Here is a 19,842-nt window from a genome sequence, read left to right as displayed (position 1 = left end):
CTGAAATATATTGAACATGGGAAAAGCTGGCATTAATATTTAAATTGGTAGGGACTTTTGGGTATTTACTGGGACCCATTCTTTATTTTCTTCTGCAACATCCTTCCTTTCCTTCTCTACTTCACAAATACCTGTTGTTATCACTATTATGTCTGTTGAATTTCGTGGTGAAAGAAGCAAACAGGATAGGGGCTAAAATTTGCCTAAGACAGAGAGCTCAAGAGCACTTAGAAATCAGCTGGAGGCCAGGCATGGTGGCTCAAGCCTGTATCTCAGCACTTTCGGAGGCTGAGTTGGGAGGATTACCTGAGGCCAGGAGTTTGAAACCAGCCTGGTCAACATAGCAAGACTCTGTCTCTACAAAAGGAAAATTTTCAAAATTAGCCAGTTGTGGTGGCACAGGCCTGTTGTTGCGGCTTTCTGGGGAGGCTGAGACAGAAGGTTGCCTTGAGCCCAGAAGTTCAAGGCTACAGTGAGCCACTTTCGCACCACTGCACTCCAGCCAGGGAGACAGAGGGAAACCCTGTCTCAAAAAAAGAAAAGGAAATCAGCTGGGGGCAGGGATGGGTGTGGGTTGGGACAGCAACTCTGGTCACTCACCATTCCAAGGTGGAGGCTTCCAGTGGGCTGTTTCTTTGCTTGGGTACATAACAGCTCCCCCAAACTGCTGTGCCCATTCCACATCTGGCTGCCACTGCCGAACACCTCTGGGGAGTCAAAGACAGATCCTAGACAAAGGGCCTGAACAGTGTTTGGTTCCTGTGTTCCCATTCACTCTCAAGGGGACCCAGGAAGGATGACCTGTTTTTTTGTTTTGTTTTGTTTTTTGTTTTTTTTGAGACTGGGTTTCACTCTTGTTGCCCATACTGGAGGGCAATGGTGTGATTTCGACTCACTGAAACCTCCGCCTCCCGGGTTCAAGTGATTCTCCTGCTTCAGCCTCCCAAGTAGCTGAGATTACAGGCATGCGCCACCAAACCCGGCTAATTTTGTATTTTTTTAAAGACGGGGGTTTCTCCATTTTGGTCAGGATGGTCTCGAACTCCCGACCTCAGATGATCTGCCCGCCTAGGCCTCCCAAAGTGCTGGGATTACAGGTGTGAGCCACCGCGCCCAGCCAATGTCCTGGATTTTTTAATGCCAAGTCACTGATCTGAAGTTAATGTAGCTTCGGCAAAACAAGCTGGAACTCTAGAGGTTCCATTCCTACTAACAAATTATTCCTGGAATAACTCCACCCATCACCCCTGGGCATGCAAGGTTGGGATCCTAGCTTCTTCATATTTTCATCATATTGATATTATCAACCAGGTGAATATGAACGTGAGAAAAGTGTTTGTTCAAGGTCAACGACAGAGAGACAGCGAGCATTCTGGCTCTTTGGCTGAGCTCTACTCAGGTATGACAGGAGAGGTGCATTCAAATTACTGAAGCTAAAAAGCAGAGTCTCCCACTCCGCTGATTTCACCTCGGCACGAACGAACTCTAGACCCTCTCCCCTCCCTCGCCAGAGTGGGCGCCACTGCATCCCGTAGCCCAAGAAATCAGGGATGGACAATGGGGTCACAGGCTTGGGTTATTATTTTCTGGGGGAGTAAAGCGTCCCCAACCTGAGAAACCCTAGCCTTGGAGAAAGTGTGTCGAGAGCTGCCCTCGATCTCACCTGCTGGGCTGAATCGGCAATCGGACTCCAGCCCCAGGCCGCAGCACCTGGGCCGCGACGCCCCGGAAGCCGCACAAAGCCCTCAGCGCCGCCATCTTACTCCGGCTGCAGACTGCGGGAAGGAGAACCGGGCGGAAGTAACTCCAGCGCGCCTCCTTCTTGGCTTCTCACCTATTCGCACAGTGAAGCCGCCCTCTTGGAAGCTGGCAGGGTCGTTTACCGTCGAACTGACAACATCCGGGTCCTGTGACTCGGCTTCACTTGCGTTTAGATAACAGTGACCGCGGTCATCTTTACTGAGGGCGTTTCCTCCCACAGCTCCTGGCTGGCTTTTCTAGGAGCGAGCAAGGGAAAATTGCCGTTCCTGCGTGGGGCAGATACTTCGTGCTCTCTCGCCGAGCCCGCCTGCGTATCTTGGAAACGCGCGGCGCTTCCTTCCCTACTCCCTTCCGCCTTGGCCGCCCTCATGCTTTAGTCCTGCTCTCGGATTGTATCTGAGCCCTGCCCTTATAGGGTAGCCCCAGGCTTTGCCAATTACTTTCCCATCACTGAATCCAAAAGACAGGAGTTGGGAAAGCCAGCTAATTTCCAGATGTCATAAATTGAGATTGGAGAAAGGAGCCTAAGTGGGGCTGGGCGGGTCTGAGAGCTCCCGCCAAACCAAAACAAAAAAGAATAGGATGCCAAGGCCGCCGGCATTGGTGGTGCGGAGGGGAGTGTCGGGGTGTGTAGGAGCCACCTCATCCCAGATGGGGGAGTGGAGGTCCTCTGTGGGTGACCCTGACATCCTCCAGGCTTCCCGAACCTACAGAATCACAGACCCAGGAAGCGCCCTTAGAGATGCCTCACACCCCACTTCCGTCTTGCGTCAGCCTCTTTTCCCTAACGTCTTTCTGACCCTGCTATAGCCCTCCTGGGTAATGGCCAACAGCACGGAAATGTAGTAGCACCAGGAGTCTGATCACAATTCTGTATGGACAAAGATTCTTCCAGCCTTAGAGGCTAGTTCCTGTTTTCTCCCTCTGCCTCTAAGCCCAACTCCAGCTGGGCCACCCACCCGTAGAGTTTGTACAACTCTCCAACTCTGAGCCTGGAAAGAGGCCTTCCCCAGATATCCCCTAGACAGGATCCCAGGGACACAGCCCACCAGCAGCGCAGCAGGGTGAGGCAGACAGACCAGGAAGCAGAGATGGTGGAATTCTTCACTGCAGAGAAAGAGGGGAAAGCCAGACTTCTGGCCTGGGAATTGACCTAATGGGAACTGTACCAAAGGGTGGGGCCAGATCCTTAGCTGTGGGAACTGACCAGGACCTGGGCTAGACAAGGCAGCTGCCACAGAGCCAGGGCAGAGGTTTGGTCCCTCTGTTGTCCTCATTCCTTGCTCTTTCCCTGGGCCTTCTTTCTATTGTTGAAACACAGCAAATGTGGCCATGGTGGTGGGGGATGGGAAGGACTGCATTTATTTGCCTTGATCCAGCCTGGGAGAAGTCAGGATAGACTTTGGGCTGCTTGGCCCTGGAGGCAGCTTGAGCTGGGACTGGGGTGGGGGGCTCCTGAGGGGCTGCCTAGGACACTGCAGCTTTTGTGCCTTCTCCCTGCTGCCAACACCCCCACACACACTGCTGCAGCCACTCTAAAGCCCTTTGTCTTTCATTGCTTAGTCACCCCCTTTGTCCTCATCTCAAATAGGGGAGTGGAAAGGGGCAGTAGAGTTCTCTGGTGATAGCTCCTCTTGCCCCTGCCCCTTCTGGTCTCCCACCCTTTGTCCGACTCCTCTAGTCCCAGCCCCGTTGGCTTAGAACCAGGGTCAGGCAAGTGGTGGGTCAAGAGGTGGGTCTGGCAGTCACAAGGGGGTGGGTGATCCAGGAAGTGATAGGCACCAGGGCAGGTATTACCGACCTGAGCAGGAAGGGAGGGGGAAAGGAAGTATTCTGACGGATATGATATGCGGGGGACAGGAGGTGACAAAGCAGAGTGAATAGGGGAATAGAGGCAAGAGGAGGTGGTCCACTTCTGGGAAAGGAAAGAGACTGCTGACTGCACTCTCCTTCCTGGGGATTTCCTGGGGAAACAAGCAGCCAGAGGATGGGGTGAGCAGAAATTGCCCCTACTTCTGAACCCTTCCTTGCCTTGAGAGTTCATACCCAAGACCTCTTTTCCGAGTTCCCTCCTATCCAAAGCCAAAGGAATAATTTGCTTCCTTTCCCTAACACCACCTCTTCCTCCCCAGCCACTTTCCCCACCCCAGGCAATGGATTTCTCCCAGTACCCTAATTTCCCTATATGCACAATGCTGTCTCCACCCTCTCCCTGCCCCAGGGAGAATTAAAAAGAAAAGATGACTAGATATTCCAGGAACCACTGGGTTCTCAGAGCAAGGTGGGGTGGATGGTGGGAGCCAGGTGGGGATTCTCCCAGATTGATACTGGGTGAATCTGGGTTCCTGAGAGCAAGTCTTGCCTATGCTGGGGGCTGGCTGACTTGAGGCTGGGGGAGGGTTTAGGGCAGTTGGGAGTGGGTAGGAGCAGGGCCAAAAGCCTGGGGGAAGCTACTGGGAGCTGGGCCAGGGAAATGGGGAGTCAGGAAGTGGGGAGGGGGAACCCTGGGGGGAAATGGAGGCGGAATGGCTGTTCTGGGCTTTGGAGGGGGTGGGTAGTGGTAACTCAGGAAGGGGGATCCTGAGGGAGAGAAGGGACGTTAGAAAAGAGGAGGTGCCACCCTGGATCCGCCTTCTATAAAAGGAAAAGTCGTTAACCCCTCCTGCCTTGTCATCTGCCGCCTCTGTTATGTTCATTCCAAGCAGGATCATCCTACCTTTGGGCAGTCAACTCCCTGATCACTGTCTCCTTGCCTCCCCCAATGTTCTGCCTTTTTTACTCTTCCCAGCTGCTCAGTTCTATCCTGAGCCATGTCAAGCTACCTCTTTTATTTGTTCTTCCCTCTTGATGCCTCCTTACCTGTTCCCTACCCTCTTTTCTCAGGCAGCTCACTCAGTCCCCTCAGCCCTGGAAACCAGCCACTAGGGCCAAAGGGCAGCATGAGGGAGCCTTGAGAAAAGAGAAGCCATGGTAGGTTAGACTATAAGAGCAGGAATTCTCCCAGGACCGTGATCCTATCTGTGCATGCCGGCCAGGCCCTTTCCCTCACTCTCTGCCTCTCCTGGGGCTCTGTCCCACCAAAAAGGGAAAGAGACAGCTGAGGGCTGATTGTGGGGTTTGGGAAAAGGCTATGTCATCAGCTGGCCCAGTGCCTATTATCCATTCGGCTGCTAGAGATTCCCCTCCCCTGGGCAAGTCCCATTTTTTTGGGAAGCGATGATACACCCATCTGAGTCCCACCGACAGAGCTCAGCTGAGTGGCTTAGAGATCAGCCAATCAATCGCAGAGGCTCACCATGCTTAAAAGAGCTGGCGCGGAGAGAGGCTGGGGAGAACCCACAGGGAGACCCACAGACACATATGCACGAGAGAGACAGAGGAGGAAAGAGACAGAGACAAAGGCACAGCGGAAGAAGGCAGAGACAGGGCAGGCACAGAAGCGGCCCAGACAGAGTCCTACAGAGGGAGAGGCCAGAGAAGCTGCAGAAGACACAGGCAGGGAGAGACAAAGATCCAGGAAAGGAGGGCTCAGGAGGAGAGTTTGGAGAAGCCAGACCCCTGGGCACCTCTCCCAAGCCCAAGGACTAAGTTTTCTCCATTTCCTTTAACGGTCCTCAGCCCTTCTGAAAACTTTGCCTCTGACCTTGGCAGGAGTCCAAGCCCCCAGGCTACAGAGAGGAGCTTTCCAAAGCTAGGGTGTGGAGGACTTGGTGCCCTAGACGGCCTCAGTCCCTCCCAGCTGCAGTACCAGTGCCATGTCCCAGACAGGCTCGCATCCCGGGAGGGGCTTGGCAGGGCGCTGGCTGTGGGGAGCCCAACCCTGCCTCCTGCTCCCCATTGTGCCGCTCTCCTGGCTGGTGTGGCTGCTTCTGCTACTGCTGGCCTCTCTCCTGCCCTCAGCCCGGCTGGCCAGCCCCCTCCCCCGGGAGGAGGAGATCGTGTTTCCAGAGAAGCTCAACGGCAGCGTCCTGCCTGGCTCGGGCGCCCCTGCCAGGCTGTTGTGCCGCTTGCAGGCCTTTGGGGAGACGCTGCTACTAGAGCTGGAGCAGGACTCCGGTGTGCAGGTCGAGGGGCTGACAGTGCAGTACCTGGGCCAGGCGCCTGAGCTGCTGGGTGGAGCAGAGCCTGGCACCTACCTGACTGGCACCATCAATGGAGATCCGGAGTCGGTGGCATCTCTGCACTGGGATGGGGGAGCCCTGTTAGGCGTGTTACAATATCGGGGGGCTGAACTCCACCTCCAGCCCCTGGAGGGAGGCACCCCTAACTCTGCTGGGGGACCTGGGGCTCACATCCTACGCCGGAAGAGTCCTGCCAGCGGTCAAGGTCCCATGTGCAACGTCAAGGCTCCTCTTGGAAGCCCCAGCCCCAGACCCCGAAGAGCCAAGGTAGGCATCTCTGGAGTCTGTGTCCTGCGGTGTCCTCCCGCCATGTCTGTCCTACTGACCCCTATTCACCCTCTCTCCACCCACTTACACTTCTGGCCGTTCTGCTTCCCTCCCTTCTGCCTGCCTTTCCTTTCTCCATGAGCCTCCTTTCTTGGTAAGGCTCAGGCCTCTCCCCTTCACCCTTCTCCTAGCCAGACCCACCGAGGGTTCTCAGAGGTGGGTCACAGACTCTGGGCTGGGAATAACTGCTCCCTCTCCCCACCCCACCCCTTCCTGGCCATGGCATCTCCTACTGACACAGTCCCCAGCAGTAAAGGTCTCCTAACAGCCCCTTGGCCTTGGCTCTTTTCTCTGCTCCAAATTTGATTTTCATCCCCCACTCCCAGCTATAGGAGTCAGGTTTGAGGCCCTAGGGCTTGGTGTCTGGCTTCTGATGCTGCCTTTAAAATCACTGTGGCAAACTGCAAACTAGGGCAGGAGTGGCAAGAGAGGGAGGGTATCCCATACCTCCTTCTGGTCAATCCCCTTCACACACTGTGGCCGGACTGCGAGGCTGCCTGAGGCTCCATCCTTTCCTCCCTCCCACTCCTGGTCTCCCCCTTCTTCCCTTCCCTCCTCCCTCCTCCCTCTCTAGCTTTAATCCAGACCAGACGCTCCCTCCACAACCGCCACGCTGAGCTCTGGCCCTGGCCCTAGCTGCTGACTGAATCGTTCCTCCAACCACACAGGGCAGACACGTTGCAGCCCAGCCCTCTAGCCCTGGTCCCATAGGCCCCAGCCACACTCAGGCCTGGAGAACCCCAAAGTCCCTCCTGACGGCAGTCCAGGCTGCTTTCACCTCTGGGGCTCCCGCAGCCCTGGGATGTGGCGTCCCCTTCTCCTCCCCTTCTTAGAACCAGCTGCTGACTCCTCAGAGTTACCACAAAAGCCCTGAGATTTGGCGTTGGGGGAAGGGCCCAACCAAGACCCGCCAGGAGTCAGGAATCCCGTGGGGTGTGTGGGGCCCAGCTGACTATGCTGAGTTCCAGACCCAGGAAGTGAGGGATTGGAGAATCGACCGACCCATGGGTCTGAGAGGCTATTTCAGGATCTTCCTCTCCCTTTTTCTCTACAGCGCTTTGCTTCACTGAGTAGATTTGTGGAGACACTGGTGGTGGCAGATGACAAGATGGCCGCATTCCACGGTGCGGGGCTAAAGCGCTACCTGCTAACAGTGATGGCAGCAGCAGCCAAGGCCTTCAAGCACCCAAGCATCCGCAATCCTGTCAGCTTGGTGGTGACTCGGCTAGTGATCCTGGGGTCAGGCGAGGAGGGGCCCCAAGTGGGGCCCAGTGCTGCCCAGACCCTGCGCAGCTTCTGTGCCTGGCAGCGGGGCCTCAACACCCCTGAGGACTCGGACCCTGACCACTTTGACACAGCCATTCTGTTTACCCGTCAGGTGAGGCCCCAGTCAGCACCGCAGGCCATGCACTGCACAATTCTAAGAAGCGCCACTACATAGACTATGATGCAAATGATGTTCCTGGAGTTGTGTGACATGGTGCCTTGCCCCAGCCACACTGCCATGTGTGGCTACCTAGGCCCTGACAGTGCTGGGTCCTCAGTGCCCAGGTCCCCGGGAATCTGGATCTCAACCCAATGGACCCAGGTGTCTTGGCTGTCTATGCACCTTCTATGATCCCTCTCCACAGGACCTGTGTGGAGTCTCCACTTGCGACACGCTGGGTATGGCTGATGTGGGCACCGTCTGTGACCCGGCTCGGAGCTGTGCCATTGTGGAGGATGATGGGCTCCAGTCAGCCTTCACTGCTGCTCATGAACTGGGTAAAGTAGGGGTGGATGAGAAAGGTATTAGGGAGGAGAAGGTGGGGGAGGGGGTAGCAAGTTCACCACAGTGTTAATGGGGGTCCCAAGGTATTCTTCCCCCAGGCCTAGGTATAGGGCTATTACTCCTCTCTGCTCCAGGTGTAGACATACATTTACATTTTTCTATTAAATAAATTAGTTGGTCGAAACTACTGTGAACTCCTCTGTGTGTGTGTGTGTGTGTGTGTGTGTGTCTGTGTGTGTGTATTTGGAGGGGGAGTCAGAGACAATGGGTGGGGTCACAGTTGGGAATGTTGGCTATAAGGAAAAGTGGGTAGGGAGGGACCCTGAGTATATTTTGGGGAAGAGGAGACAGAGAAAGAGACGGGGCTACATACTGGGAGCCCTGAGAGTACCATAAAGGAAAGGACTGGGGGCAGGGTGAGGTGGGTAATGGATCTGATCATCCACAGCTGCAGCCAGATTTATTATGGAGTCCCTCAGGGCATGGGGAAGGGACCCTCAGATCCTATCAGGGCCTTTGCTCCCACAGGTCATGTCTTCAACATGCTCCATGACAACTCCAAGCCATGCATCAGTTTGAATGGGCCTTTGAGCACCTCTCGCCATGTCATGGCCCCTGTGATGGCTCATGTGGATCCTGAGGAGCCCTGGTCCCCCTGCAGTGCCCGCTTCATCACTGACTTCCTGGACAATGGCTATGGTAAGCAGATGGCACTTACCTTTCCCTGGGTAGCACTCAATTCCTGTCCTCCAGGGCACTCTCACTTCCGCTGCATTCTGCATGGACCAAATTGCCTCCCCCAAGTGTGCTTCCTCTGCAGTGTGGGAAGGGGTGAGAAATGCTGCTGTCTTTGTGTAGTTCTCACTTCCTCCCAGAATAAATAGCATAGCTAGAGGAGGCGAATTTTGGCTCAGTAGAATTAGAACTGACTTTCTGAGGGCCAGAACTGTCCACCACTGGAATGGGCTGGCTATGAAGGAGGTGATTACCTTGTCACGCAGTGAGGTATGCAAGAATAGCAGGATGACTGCCACTAGGCAGAGATGTTGATGAGAAGCAAACTCAAATATTCTATAGTTGGTTAGAATAGGCAGAATTGAGTTCCTATCCTTACTCTGTTTTGTTTTGTTTTGTTTTGTTTTAAATACAGATGTGGTCTCACTGTGTTGCCTAGGCTGGTCTCGAACTCCTAGGCTCAAGCAATCCTCCCACCTCAGCCTTCCAAAGTGCTGGGATTACAGACATTAAGCCACCATGCCTGGCCTCTTATTCTGTTCTTTAAGCAGGTGTAGATGTGTGACTGTAAGTTACTTCACCTCTCTGTGTTTGTAGTTGATATGTCAGATAAGTATAATAGCGGTACCTATCTCATAGGTATTTGCCATGATTAAATAGTGCTGGTCAAGCATTTAGCCAATGCTCATCTCATAATAAGCATCCAATAAACTATAGCTGCCCATTAAAGCCTCTTACAGGGCTAGGCACAGTGGCTTACACCTGTAATCCCAATGCTTTGGGAGGCTAAGGTGGGAGGATTGCTTGAGACCAGGAGTTTGAGATTAGCCTGGACAACATAGCAAGACCTTATCACTACAAAAAATTCCAAAAAATTAGCTGGACATGGCACATGCCTGTAATCCCAGCTACTCAGGAGCCCAAGGCAGGAAGTTTGCTTGAGCCCAGAAGTTTGAGGCTGTAGTGAGCCATGATCATGCCACTGTACTGCAGCCTGAGCGACAGAGCAAGACTCTGTCTCAGGAAAAAAAAAAAAAAGTAAGTAATTAAAATAAAAATTATAAATAACAAAAATTTAAATCCTCTTATAGTCCTAGGATTGTTTTTCTAGGCTCCATCAGGCCCCAGGGAGCCTAAGCTTTCTGCTGGCAATCCTGAATGCTCCCCTCAGCCCGTTGCTGACTTTGTGCCCCAACCCCCTTCCCAGGGCACTGTCTCTTAGACAAACCAGAGGCTCCATTGCATCTGCCTGTGACTTTCCCTGGCAAGGACTATGATGCTGACCGCCAGTGCCAGCTGACCTTCGGGCCCGACTCACGCCATTGTCCACAGCTGCCGCCGCCCTGTGCTGCCCTCTGGTGCTCTGGCCACCTCAATGGCCATGCCATGTGCCAGACCAAACACTCGCCCTGGGCCGATGGCACACCCTGCGGGCCCGCACAGGCCTGCATGGGTGGTCGCTGCCTCCACATGGACCAGCTCCAGGACTTCAATGTGAGATCCTAGGGCAGGGGTGGGGTAAAGGGCCCGGGGGTGTGGGGACTGGCCTTAAGCCCAGGAGAGAGTTCACTTATGCCCCACTTCCGTTCTGTGCCTTTGCAGATTCCACAGGCTGGTGGCTGGGGTCCTTGGGGACCATGGGGTGACTGCTCTCGGACCTGTGGGGGTGGTGTCCAGTTCTCCTCCCGAGACTGCACGAGGCCTGTCCCCCGGAATGGTGGCAAGTACTGTGAGGGCCGCCGTACCCGCTTCCGCTCCTGCAACACTGAGGACTGCCCAACTGGCTCAGGTGAGGAGTAGGGGGGATGGGAGCCCTTGGGAGGGGACAGTAGAGCAGGAAGGACTGTCCCTTGAGTGCAAGACCAAGGGGGTGTTGATTCCCCTGCTGCTGTGGGGAGTGCCTTTAACCTCTGGGAATTGTCCTTGGCCGTCTGCAGGGAAGAGCAGAGCTGTGCTGTCTAGAGTTCTCAGGGGTTGGGTGGAGGGATGTGGGGTGATGTGAGGAAGGAAGGAGGGGCTCTGACTGTTTTACCCCTCCAGCCCTGACCTTCCGCGAGGAGCAGTGTGCTGCCTACAACCACCGCACCGACCTCTTCAAGAGCTTCCCAGGGCCCATGGACTGGGTTCCTCGCTACACAGGCGTGGCCCCCCAGGACCAGTGCAAACTCACCTGCCAGGCCCAGGCACTGGGCTACTACTATGTGCTGGAGCCACGGGTGAGGGTCAGGACACCCCCAGGCCCTGTCTATGGTCACACACACCCGCAGTGCTCCCTCTGCTTTCTGATAACAAAGATCACCCAAAGTAACCCTGTTCCTACAGCCACGCCAGCCCAGTCCAGGATTCCACTCAGACTTATCTGTACATGGGTATCAGGAAAACGAGCCCCAGACTCCAGATATGTGGCCAATAGGTCCCTCTAGCCTATCCTATTTCCCGTGGTTTCTTTTCCTCTGACTCCCCATCTTCTAATGCTGCATTTGGTGAGAATCGAATGTGTGGCCTTTGGGACAAGTCCTTCACCCCTCTTCCATGGGCTCCTCTGTCAAATTATAGTGGTGGTTTCATTCAGCTCCTGGACAGCCAGTCCCTCAATGGACAGGCCTCCTGGAGATGACTGAAGTCCCTACACTCCCTCTCTGTGATAGGGTGGTGGGTTGAAGGCTGCACAAAGAAAAACAAGCCCCAGCAGCATTTTGCTCCCTTCGCCCCAACCTGAGAATTTCTACAGGCTGGCTGCCCTCTAGCGTCCATTTAGGGACAGTGCCATCAAGGTTTAGGGCTTGGTGCTGGGACCAGACAGACTGCACTTCCCATCTTGGCTCCTCTGCTTGCCATTTGTGTGGCTTTTGGACAGGTTCTTTAGCTTTTCTAAACCTCAACGTTCCATCCCTAAAAACCTCAAATAGTGGTGGTGAGATTTACATTTGTGTTTATAAAACACTTAGCATGCTGCCTGATTCATACTCAGTGCTCTGAAAATGCTGGCTAGATGTTATATGTGATAATAATTATTATTGTTATGATTATCACCCACATGGTGGCCGGCACTCACCCATCTACATCCCCTACTTCATCCAACTTTTCCGACAACATTGCTTCCCTGATGGGACATGGGTCTCGTTTGATTTACCAACCCCTTTTGACTTAGGAGGAACCTTCAGCATTGTTCTTTCTCTTTTCCTCAGGTGGTAGATGGGACCCCCTGTTCCCCGGACAGCTCCTCGGTCTGTGTCCAGGGCCGATGCATCCATGCTGGCTGTGATCGCATCATTGGCTCCAAGAAGAAGTTTGACAAGTGCATGGTGTGCGGAGGGGACGGTTCTGGTTGCAGCAAGCAGTCAGGCTCCTTCAGGAAATTCAGGTTCTTTCACCATCATTCCTCCCTCTACCTTCCTGGACATTCTGGGTCCTAGTGATGCAGAGGGGAACTCAGCACTGTTTCCACTCTCAAAGAGCTCACAGTCTAGCGGGAGATAGACGAGTAGGCAGCTACAGTGCGGTTTCCCATGTATTCATCCGAAGTTGGAACAGGGTGTTGTGAGTGCCCTTGTGGGCATCAGGGAAGGCTTCCTTGGAGGTGACCTCTGAGCTGAGTCTCAGAAGGAGGGTAGGAATTAGACAGGTACCAAGGAAGTGGGGCTTGGAAGGGCAACTCAATAAGGGGGCAGTGGGTGTAAAGGTCCAGAGATAAGAGGCAGTAGGGCACATGTGCATGTAGCTCTGATCCAGACCGAACAGCTCACATAGGATTGGGTGACAGCCATCTACACACATGTACACACATACAGTCACATAAGCACAGCTCAGAAGGCTGAGGGGATTCAGGTGATCCTGAGCTCCCCATCTACTCCTTCCACACAGGTACGGATACAACAATGTGGTCACTATCCCCGCGGGGGCCACCCACATTCTTGTCCGGCAGCAGGGAAACCCTGGCCACCGGAGCATCTACTTGGCCCTGAAGCTGCCAGATGGCTCCTATGCCCTCAATGGTGAATACACGCTGATGCCCTCCCCCACAGATGTGGTACTGCCTGGGGCAGTCAGCTTGCGCTACAGCGGGGCCACTGCAGCCTCAGAGACACTGTCAGGCCATGGGCCACTGGCCCAGCCTTTGACACTGCAAGTCCTAGTGGCTGGCAACCCCCAGGACACACGCCTCCGATACAGCTTCTTCGTGCCCCGGCCGACCCCTTCAACGCCACGCCCCACTCCCCAGGACTGGCTGCACCGAAGAGCACAGATTCTGGAGATCCTTCGGCGGCGCCCCTGGGCGGGCAGGAAATAACCTCACTATCCCGGCTGCCCTTTCTGGGCACCGGGGCCTCGGACTTAGCTGGGAGAAAGAGAGAGCTTCTGTTGCTGCCTCATGCTAAGACTCAGTGGGGAGGGGCTGTGGGCGTGAGACCTGCCCCTCCTCTCTGCCCTAATGCGCAGGCTGGCCCTGCCCTGGTTTCCTGCCCTGGGAGGCAGTGATGGGTTAGTGGATGGAAGGGGCTGACAGACAGCCCTCCATCTAAACTGCCCCCTCTGCCCTGCGGGTCACAGGAGGGAGGGGGAAGGCAGGGAGGGCCTGGGCCCCAGTTGTATTTATTTAGTATTTATTCACTTTTATTTAGCACCAGGGAAGGGGACAAGGACTAGGGTCCTGGGGAACCTGACCCCTGACCCCTCATAGCCCTCACCCTGGGGCTAGGAAATCCAGGGTGGTGGTGATAGGTATAAGTGGTGTGTGTATGCGTGTGTGTGTGTGTGAAAATGTGTGTGTGCTTATGTATGAGGTACAACCTGTTCTGCTTTCCTCTTCCTGAATTTTATTTTTTGGGAAAAGAAAAGTCAAGGGTAGGGTGGGCCTTCAGGGAGTGAGGGATTATCTTTTTTTTTTTTTCTTTCTTTCTTTCTTTTTTTTTTTTGAGACAGAATCTCGCTCTGTCGCCCAGGCTGGAGTGCAATGGCACAATCTCGGCTCACTGCATCCTCCGCCTCCCGGGTTCAAGTGATTCTCATGCCTCAGCCTCCTGAGTAGCTGGGATTACAGGCTCCTGCCACCACGCCCGGCTAATTTTTGTTTTGTTTTGTTTGGAGACAGAGTCTCGCTATTGTCACCAGGGCTGGAATGATTTCAGCTCACTGCAACCTTCGCCACCTGGGTTCCAGCAATTCTCCTGCCTCAGCCTCCCGAGTAGCTGAGATTATAGGCACCTACCACCACGCCCGGCTAATTTTTGTATTTTTAGTAGAGACGGGGTTTCACCATGTTGGCCAGGCTGGTCTCGAACTCCTGACCTTAGGTGATCCACTCGCCTTCATCTCCCAAAGTGCTGGGATTACAGGCGTGAGCCACCGTGCCTGGCCACGCCCAACTAATTTTTGTATTTTTAGTAGAGACAGGGTTTCACCATGTTGGCCAGGCTGCTCTTGAACTCCTGACCTCAGGTAATCGACCTGCCTCGGCCTCCCAAAGTGCTGGGATTACAGGTGTGAGCCACCACGCCCGGTACATATTTTTTAAATTGAATTCTACTATTTATGTGATCCTTTTGGAGTCAGACAGATGTGGTTGCATCCTAACTCCATGTCTCTGAGCATTAGATTTCTCATTTGCCAATAATAATACCTCCCTTAGAAGTTTGTTGTGAGGATTAAATAATGTAAATAAAGAACTAGCATAACACTCAGCATCTAGTAAGTGCTCAACAAATAGCAGCTGCTGTTACTTACTGTTATCAAATTTCTGTCCACATCCACTCTCCATATGCACTTGAAGGTGGCAAAGATCCACAACCATGGTGCCTGCCTTTATCCTCAGGGTCCGTTCCTTTGGTTGGCAGACCCCTATCCTGGGTTCTGAGGGACCAACAGAGAAAGGAAAATTCCATCCCTCACCTCTGGAAGTTCCCAATCACAGGAAGGAAACATAGTAAGCACGTGGCTACAAATACAATTGACAAGAACATGAAGGTGCAGGATAACAAGAACAAATAACAAGAACAACTGCATCAACACAAATGAGTGCTTAGTAATAAGGGTGATAGTTGAGGGGTCTGGGTTTCACAACAGTAGAAAGAGCACTGGAGTGGGAGCCAGCGGGTCTGGATTCAATTTGGGGCTCGGCGTCTTATTAGCTGGGTGGTGTTGGGTAAGTCACTGATGCTGAGCCTTAGATTGCTCATATGGGACTAACAGTATCTACTCCCACAGAGTTGTTCTGGGAACAAATGCTAGAATATTTTCAAAATAGTAAAGGTTATAGTCATGGCCATGTGAGAGGTTACCCCTATGACTACCTGAAGATGGAACGGAGTCTCCAGAATCTGCCAGTGTAAACCCAGCAGAATGCCTAGAAGATGTGAGATTAGAATAAAATTTCATAAAACAAAAACAATCGGGCACGGTGGCTCATGCCTGTAATCCCAGCACTTTGGGAGGCCGAAATGGGCGGATCACGAGGTCAGGAGATTGAGACCGACCATCCTGGCTACCACAGTGAAACCCCGTGTCTACTAAAAATACAAAATATATATATATATATATATATATATTAGCCGGGCATGGTGACAGGTGCCTATAGTCCCAGCTACTTGGGAGACTGAGGCAGGAGAATGACTTGCACCCGGGAGGCAGAGCTTACAGTGAGTCGAGATTGCGCCACTGCACTCCAGCCTGGGAGACAGAGTGAGACTCGTCTCGATACAAAAACAAAAACAAAAACAGGATATGGTTTGGCAGGAAATAGGCAAGAAGGCAAAAAGAATAACCTGGAAAAGGATCTGAGGTAAGGGAGCCAGGTGCCTCAAAATGGCAGAATACCTGATGCCTGAGGAGAGGGAGGGAATAAAACATCTGCATTTTCCCCTCTGGGCAAGGCGCCTTTGCTTGAGAAAGAATTTTGGGCTGGATGAGATGGTTCACACCTGTAATCCCAGTACTTTGGCAGGAGGATTGCTTGAGGCCAGGAGGTTGGGACCAACCTGGGCAACATAGAAAGATTCCATCTCTACCAAAAAAAAAAAAGATTGAAAAATTAGCCGGGCGTGGTGGCACCTGTAGTCCCAGCTACTTGGGAGGCTAAAATAGGAGGACTGCTTGAGCCCACGATTTCGAGGCTATGGTGAGCTACAATCATGCCACTATACTCCAGCCTGGGTGAGAGACCAAAACACCAACTCAAAAAAAAAAAAAAAAAAAAAAAAAGGGCCAGGCATGGTGGCTCACACCTGTAATCTCAGCACTTTGGGAGGCTGAGGTTCAAAACCAGCCAGGCCAACATGGTGAAACCCCATCTCTACTAAAAAAAAAATACAAAAAATTAGCCAGGTGTGGTGGCAAGCGCCTATAGTCCCAGCTACTCATGAGGCTGAGGCAGGAGGATCGCTTGAACCTGGGAGGTGGAGGTTGCAGTGAGCCGAAATTGCGCCATTGCACTCCAGTCTGGGCGATAGAGTGAGACTCCATCTCAAAAAAAAAAAAAAAAAAAAAAAGAACTTGGGCAGTCCTCTATGTGTCATGGATGGAACAGGGATGGGCAAGGGTGGTAGGTAGACCCTGCAAGAATTTGGAGTTTTGAGAGGCAGACGCAGGACTGCTAGGGATTGGGGAAGGTACTGGATGTGGGGTTGTGGGAGAAACTATAGGTAAAGAAGACCCTGAGGTTGAGGTGGAAGAGTGAAGAATGGGGGAACCAAAGGCACTTCACTCTGCCATAGCAGCCCCTAGCTGGGATGCCAAATACTGCTTGGAATGTGAAGCTGGGACTATGGGGTTGAGGCAGGCCATGGAGGTTGTAGTGGTTATATGTGCTATGCTTACTGGATCTGGGCTTTGCTAATCAAGTTCTGTACCAGGCAGTGCCTTATACAGCACCCTGTACTCTACACCAGCCAGCACAGCGCCTGCTTCCTCTGCAGCAATGAGAAAAGACTGCCCACACTCTCTTCTCTCCAGTAAACACGGTTCTCCCTGCTAGGCTTGGCCCCCTGGCCCTTCCTGTGGTCCTCCTACTAACCAGGCTGAAGAAGATGGAGACAAGACAATAGTGATCTTTACTCGTTTCATCTAGTTTGCAAAATGAGACCACAGATAGTATGTTTATGGACCTTGATACTATGAGTTGATGGTACAATGAGCAGAGTTCTGTGATAAGTAGATGTAAGGTACAAATACAAACAATATATACGACTGTCCTAAAGGGGTTCACACTGCATTCTGGGCAGGGGAGGTTGTATACTGCTCCCACTCCACCTTCCCCGCAAACAGAAGCAATGGGACAGTAAAAGGGACTAGAAGATAAGAGCCTAATGAGCCCTGAACTGAATGGACTATGAGGGTTATGGAGGGCTACCTTGGGCTGGGCCCTGGAGAACAGGTCATCATGATAGCCCTTCTCACTTTCCTTTAATGTTCATGGAGATACACTTTTTTTTTTGAGATAGGGTCTCCCTTTGTTGACCAGGCAGGAGTACAGTGGTGTGATCTTGGCTCACTGCAGCCTTGAACTCTCAGGCTCAAGCAACCCTCCCACCTCAACCTCCTGAGTACCTAGGACTACAGGCACGAGCTACCACACCCAGCTAATTTACTTTTTTTTTTGGTTGAGACGAGGTCTTATCATATTGCCCAGGCTGGTCTTGAACTCCTGGCCTCAAGGGATCTTCCCACCTCGATCTCCCAAAGTGTTGGGATGACCAGTGTGAACCACCATGCCTGGCCTTTTCTTTTGAGACAGTCTCGCTCTGTGGCTCAGGTTGGAGTGCAGTGGCACCATCATAACTTACTACAGCCTTGAACTCCTGGGCTCGAGTAATCCTCCCACCTCAGCCTCCTAAGTAGCTTGGACTACAGGTGTAGATTCACTTTTAAATCACTTTTCTGCCTGTTATTTTAAGAGAAAGCCCTTCGCTCACCAAGTAGGGTTCTCACTGGCATAAGTAAGTTTTTCTGAAAATGAGACTGAGCTTAGGGGCCACCTCTGTGATTGGGTAAGTAAGCAGGAGCTAGAGTGAAAGAGGGGCAGAGAGAGCTAGCTCATCGAAGAGAAGTGATGGGCATCTCAGCCCTCAATCCCAGGCAAGGCCTGACCCTTTTCTGGAATGGTCTCTGCCTTACCACACCTCCAAGACCCAGATTGTAGGTAGGCTTTACCTAATAGGAGTCCAACAAGTTCTTGCTAGGGATGGGATTGTGGGGGGGCACATATCTCCCTGTAAGAGCCACAGTGAGCTCTGTTTCCCATCTGCCTACTTATTGCCCTCGTGGGCCTGAGCTGGGGTGTAGATATATAAGGAGGAACAGAAACAGTAATAACAGGAAGTAAGGAGGCACTGAAACAATTCAAGTATCTGGTCCTGGAGATGAAAAGAGGAAATGGAAAAAGAAAAGGCATTGAATGACAAGGGATTAGAACCCTGTCCCTAGAGAAGTTCAAGAAGAGTTTGGACAACCATTTTATGAGATGGCAAGTGTTGTGCATGAGTATGTGTTTGAGGTGGGGGAGGAAGTTGAAGCAATAAGTTGGGCCAATTTCCTAAAGTCCCTTCTGCCCCTGAGATTCTCTGCTTCTGTGGTTCAAACAGAGGAAATCTGGACATTTGTCCAGCCACTATTTTTGTAATGGAGGTGGGACAGCCAGGGTTCCTGGAGTGTGCTGTGGAATCGGCATTTACACTTCTCTTCCATCTCTAGTCTCATTTCTGTAATCTTCATACAGTATTACAGTATTTTGTTTTCTAAAATACCAGATTGGCAGTAAGTGACAAAACTAGCATCTCATTGGTCAGGGCTTGTGGGGGAGGAAGGGAGAAGAAAGTGGATTTCAATGTATTAACATTTTATTGGCTGAGAGGATGTTTCTGAACCAATTGAGTACCTTCCCCATTGACTGTTGCTGGGGCCAAGCCAAAATCATTGGCACCACGAGAAACCAGATGACAGCTGGAGGAAACCACGAGTGCTAAAAATGCTCAGAAAGAGGGGGGTCAGGGAAGGCGGGGGAGCAACAACACTGAACAACTTCCCCAGGCAGGATCTTACATGGGGACAGACCCAGGGTACTTAAGTAGCATTAGGAAGGAAAGGGAGGGGAGGAAGTAGATTAAGTATCCCTCACAGTCTTGGCACAACAAACAGGCACCATACACCCACACCAACAGTGACACATTGACATAACACACATCCAACTTCACAGAGACACACTAGCACATTCTCTCTTTTTTTTAAAATTTATTTTATTATTATTATACTTTAAGTTTTAGGGTACATGTGCACAATGTGCAGGTTAGTTACATATGTATACATGTGCCATGCTGGTGTGCTGCACCCATTAACTCATCATTTAGCATTAGGTATATCTCCTAATGCTATCCCTCCCCCCTCCCCCCCTGCCTTTCTTTTTCTTCTTTTTTTTCTTAAGACAGATTCTCATTCTGTCACCCAGGCTAGAGTGCAATGGCGTGATCTCGGCTCACTGCAACCTCCACCTCCCAGGTTCAAGTGATTCTCCTGCCTCAGCCTGCCAAGTAGCTGGGATTACAGGTATGCACCACCATGCCCAGCTAATTTTTTGTATTTTTAGTATAGAGACGGGGTTTTCCATGTTGCCCAGGCTGGTCTTGAACTCCCGGGCTCAAGTGATCTGCCTGCCTCGGCCTCCCAAAGTGCTGGGATTACAGGTGTGAGCCAGGGTGCCTGGCCAACACATTCTGTTGATAATATAGATGCAAATAAGTAGTAGGGAGCGGAAAATGTAAGAATTTTCACCTGAAAATGGATCTGAAGAGTAAAAGATATTAATTGACCTAATCGTGCATTGAGAATTGACTGTTTATCCCATTTATTTGTTCAATAAATAAGCCAATGGGTTGTAAACATTGTAAACATTCCACAGCATGTGGAAAGGACATGGATTTTTGGAGTCAAATTGAATCTAAGCCTTGCTACTTACTTACCTGTAATGATGCAACCTTAATTACTTGATCTCTGTAAACCTCAGTTTCCTTACCTACAAAACGTTTGTACTATTACCTGCCTTATAGAGAGGTCCAGACTTAAGAATATGATGATGTAAATGTTTGGCACTGTGTCTGGCTTTTAGTAAGTGGTCAATAAAGGCCAGTTCTCCTTTCCTTA

General features: G+C 51.9%; 2 protein-coding genes across 13 annotated transcripts in view, besides 8 other annotated features; one reads left to right on the top strand and one right to left on the bottom strand.

The window, feature by feature from the left end:
• Positions 1-6,727, bottom strand: part of NDUFS2 (NADH:ubiquinone oxidoreductase core subunit S2) — a 16,979-nt gene extending 10,252 nt beyond the window's left edge. For 5 of the 10 annotated variants that reach the window (NR_165188.1, NM_001166159.2, NM_001377302.1 and 2 more), the window contains exons 1-2: positions 1,664-1,777; positions 601-707 (exon numbers count right to left, since the gene is read on the bottom strand). Coding sequence is in view for 8 of the 10 variants with exons in the window: in NM_001166159.2 (NP_001159631.1) it covers positions 601-707; positions 1,664-1,758 (202 nt within the window). In the remaining 2 variants the exon portion in view is untranslated. Of the gene's footprint in view, positions 1-600; positions 708-1,663; positions 1,998-4,620; positions 4,840-6,656 lie in introns of those variants that run through there. The other 5 variants (NM_001377300.1, NM_001377298.1, NM_001377301.1 and 2 more) reach the window with 4 other exon arrangements.
• Positions 1,510-1,839: an enhancer, noted in NCBI's record as "active region_1985". NCBI's record gives its function as "activates an Ori minimal core promoter by ATAC-STARR-seq in GM12878 lymphoblastoid cells {active_cell/tissue: GM12878}" and the evidence as "EXISTENCE:reporter gene assay evidence [ECO:0000049][PMID:35858748]".
• Positions 3,104-3,825: an enhancer, noted in NCBI's record as "H3K27ac-H3K4me1 hESC enhancer chr1:161170109-161170830 (GRCh37/hg19 assembly coordinates)". NCBI's record gives its function as "activates a minimal SCP1, AML or CMV promoter by ChIP-STARR-seq in primed H9 embryonic stem cells {active_cell/tissue: H9 hESC(primed)}" and the evidence as "EXISTENCE:reporter gene assay evidence [ECO:0000049][PMID:30033119]".
• On the top strand, positions 5,090-19,842 carry ADAMTS4 (ADAM metallopeptidase with thrombospondin type 1 motif 4). Of its 3 annotated transcripts, none has more exons than NM_005099.6 (9): positions 5,090-6,149; positions 7,264-7,587; positions 7,841-7,973; positions 8,509-8,679; positions 9,923-10,209; positions 10,318-10,504; positions 10,756-10,931; positions 11,904-12,079; positions 12,580-19,842. In NM_005099.6, the coding sequence occupies exons 1-9, from the start codon at positions 5,517-5,519 to the stop codon at positions 13,004-13,006; spliced, it is 2,514 nt and encodes an 837-aa protein (NP_005090.3). In that variant the 5' UTR covers positions 5,090-5,516; the 3' UTR covers positions 13,007-19,842. The 3 variants fall into 3 exon arrangements, with proteins under 3 accessions (NP_005090.3, NP_001307265.1, XP_047290860.1); NM_001320336.3 differs by having other exon boundaries at positions 12,741-14,396; XM_047434904.1 differs by lacking the exons at positions 10,756-10,931; positions 12,580-19,842 and having other exon boundaries at positions 11,904-11,980.
• Positions 6,351-7,256: an enhancer, noted in NCBI's record as "H3K27ac-H3K4me1 hESC enhancer chr1:161166678-161167583 (GRCh37/hg19 assembly coordinates)". NCBI's record gives its function as "activates a minimal SCP1, AML or CMV promoter by ChIP-STARR-seq in primed H9 embryonic stem cells {active_cell/tissue: H9 hESC(primed)}" and the evidence as "EXISTENCE:reporter gene assay evidence [ECO:0000049][PMID:30033119]".
• Positions 8,435-8,504: an enhancer, noted in NCBI's record as "active region_1984". NCBI's record gives its function as "activates an Ori minimal core promoter by ATAC-STARR-seq in GM12878 lymphoblastoid cells {active_cell/tissue: GM12878}" and the evidence as "EXISTENCE:reporter gene assay evidence [ECO:0000049][PMID:35858748]".
• Positions 8,875-8,924: a silencer, noted in NCBI's record as "silent region_1474". NCBI's record gives its function as "represses an Ori minimal core promoter by ATAC-STARR-seq in GM12878 lymphoblastoid cells {active_cell/tissue: GM12878}" and the evidence as "EXISTENCE:reporter gene assay evidence [ECO:0000049][PMID:35858748]".
• Positions 10,393-11,206: an enhancer, noted in NCBI's record as "H3K27ac-H3K4me1 hESC enhancer chr1:161162728-161163541 (GRCh37/hg19 assembly coordinates)". NCBI's record gives its function as "activates a minimal SCP1, AML or CMV promoter by ChIP-STARR-seq in primed H9 embryonic stem cells {active_cell/tissue: H9 hESC(primed)}" and the evidence as "EXISTENCE:reporter gene assay evidence [ECO:0000049][PMID:30033119]".
• Positions 18,376-18,425: an enhancer, noted in NCBI's record as "active region_1983". NCBI's record gives its function as "activates an Ori minimal core promoter by ATAC-STARR-seq in GM12878 lymphoblastoid cells {active_cell/tissue: GM12878}" and the evidence as "EXISTENCE:reporter gene assay evidence [ECO:0000049][PMID:35858748]".
• Positions 19,196-19,395: an enhancer, noted in NCBI's record as "active region_1982". NCBI's record gives its function as "activates an Ori minimal core promoter by ATAC-STARR-seq in GM12878 lymphoblastoid cells {active_cell/tissue: GM12878}" and the evidence as "EXISTENCE:reporter gene assay evidence [ECO:0000049][PMID:35858748]".

The sequence above is a fragment of the Homo sapiens genome, chromosome 1 (assembly GCF_000001405.40).
Source record: "Homo sapiens chromosome 1, GRCh38.p14 Primary Assembly".
Classification (NCBI taxonomy): Eukaryota; Metazoa; Chordata; class Mammalia; order Primates; family Hominidae; genus Homo; species Homo sapiens.
Note: the sequence above shows the minus strand (reverse complement) of the source record. Positions and strands in the feature narration are given on the sequence as shown.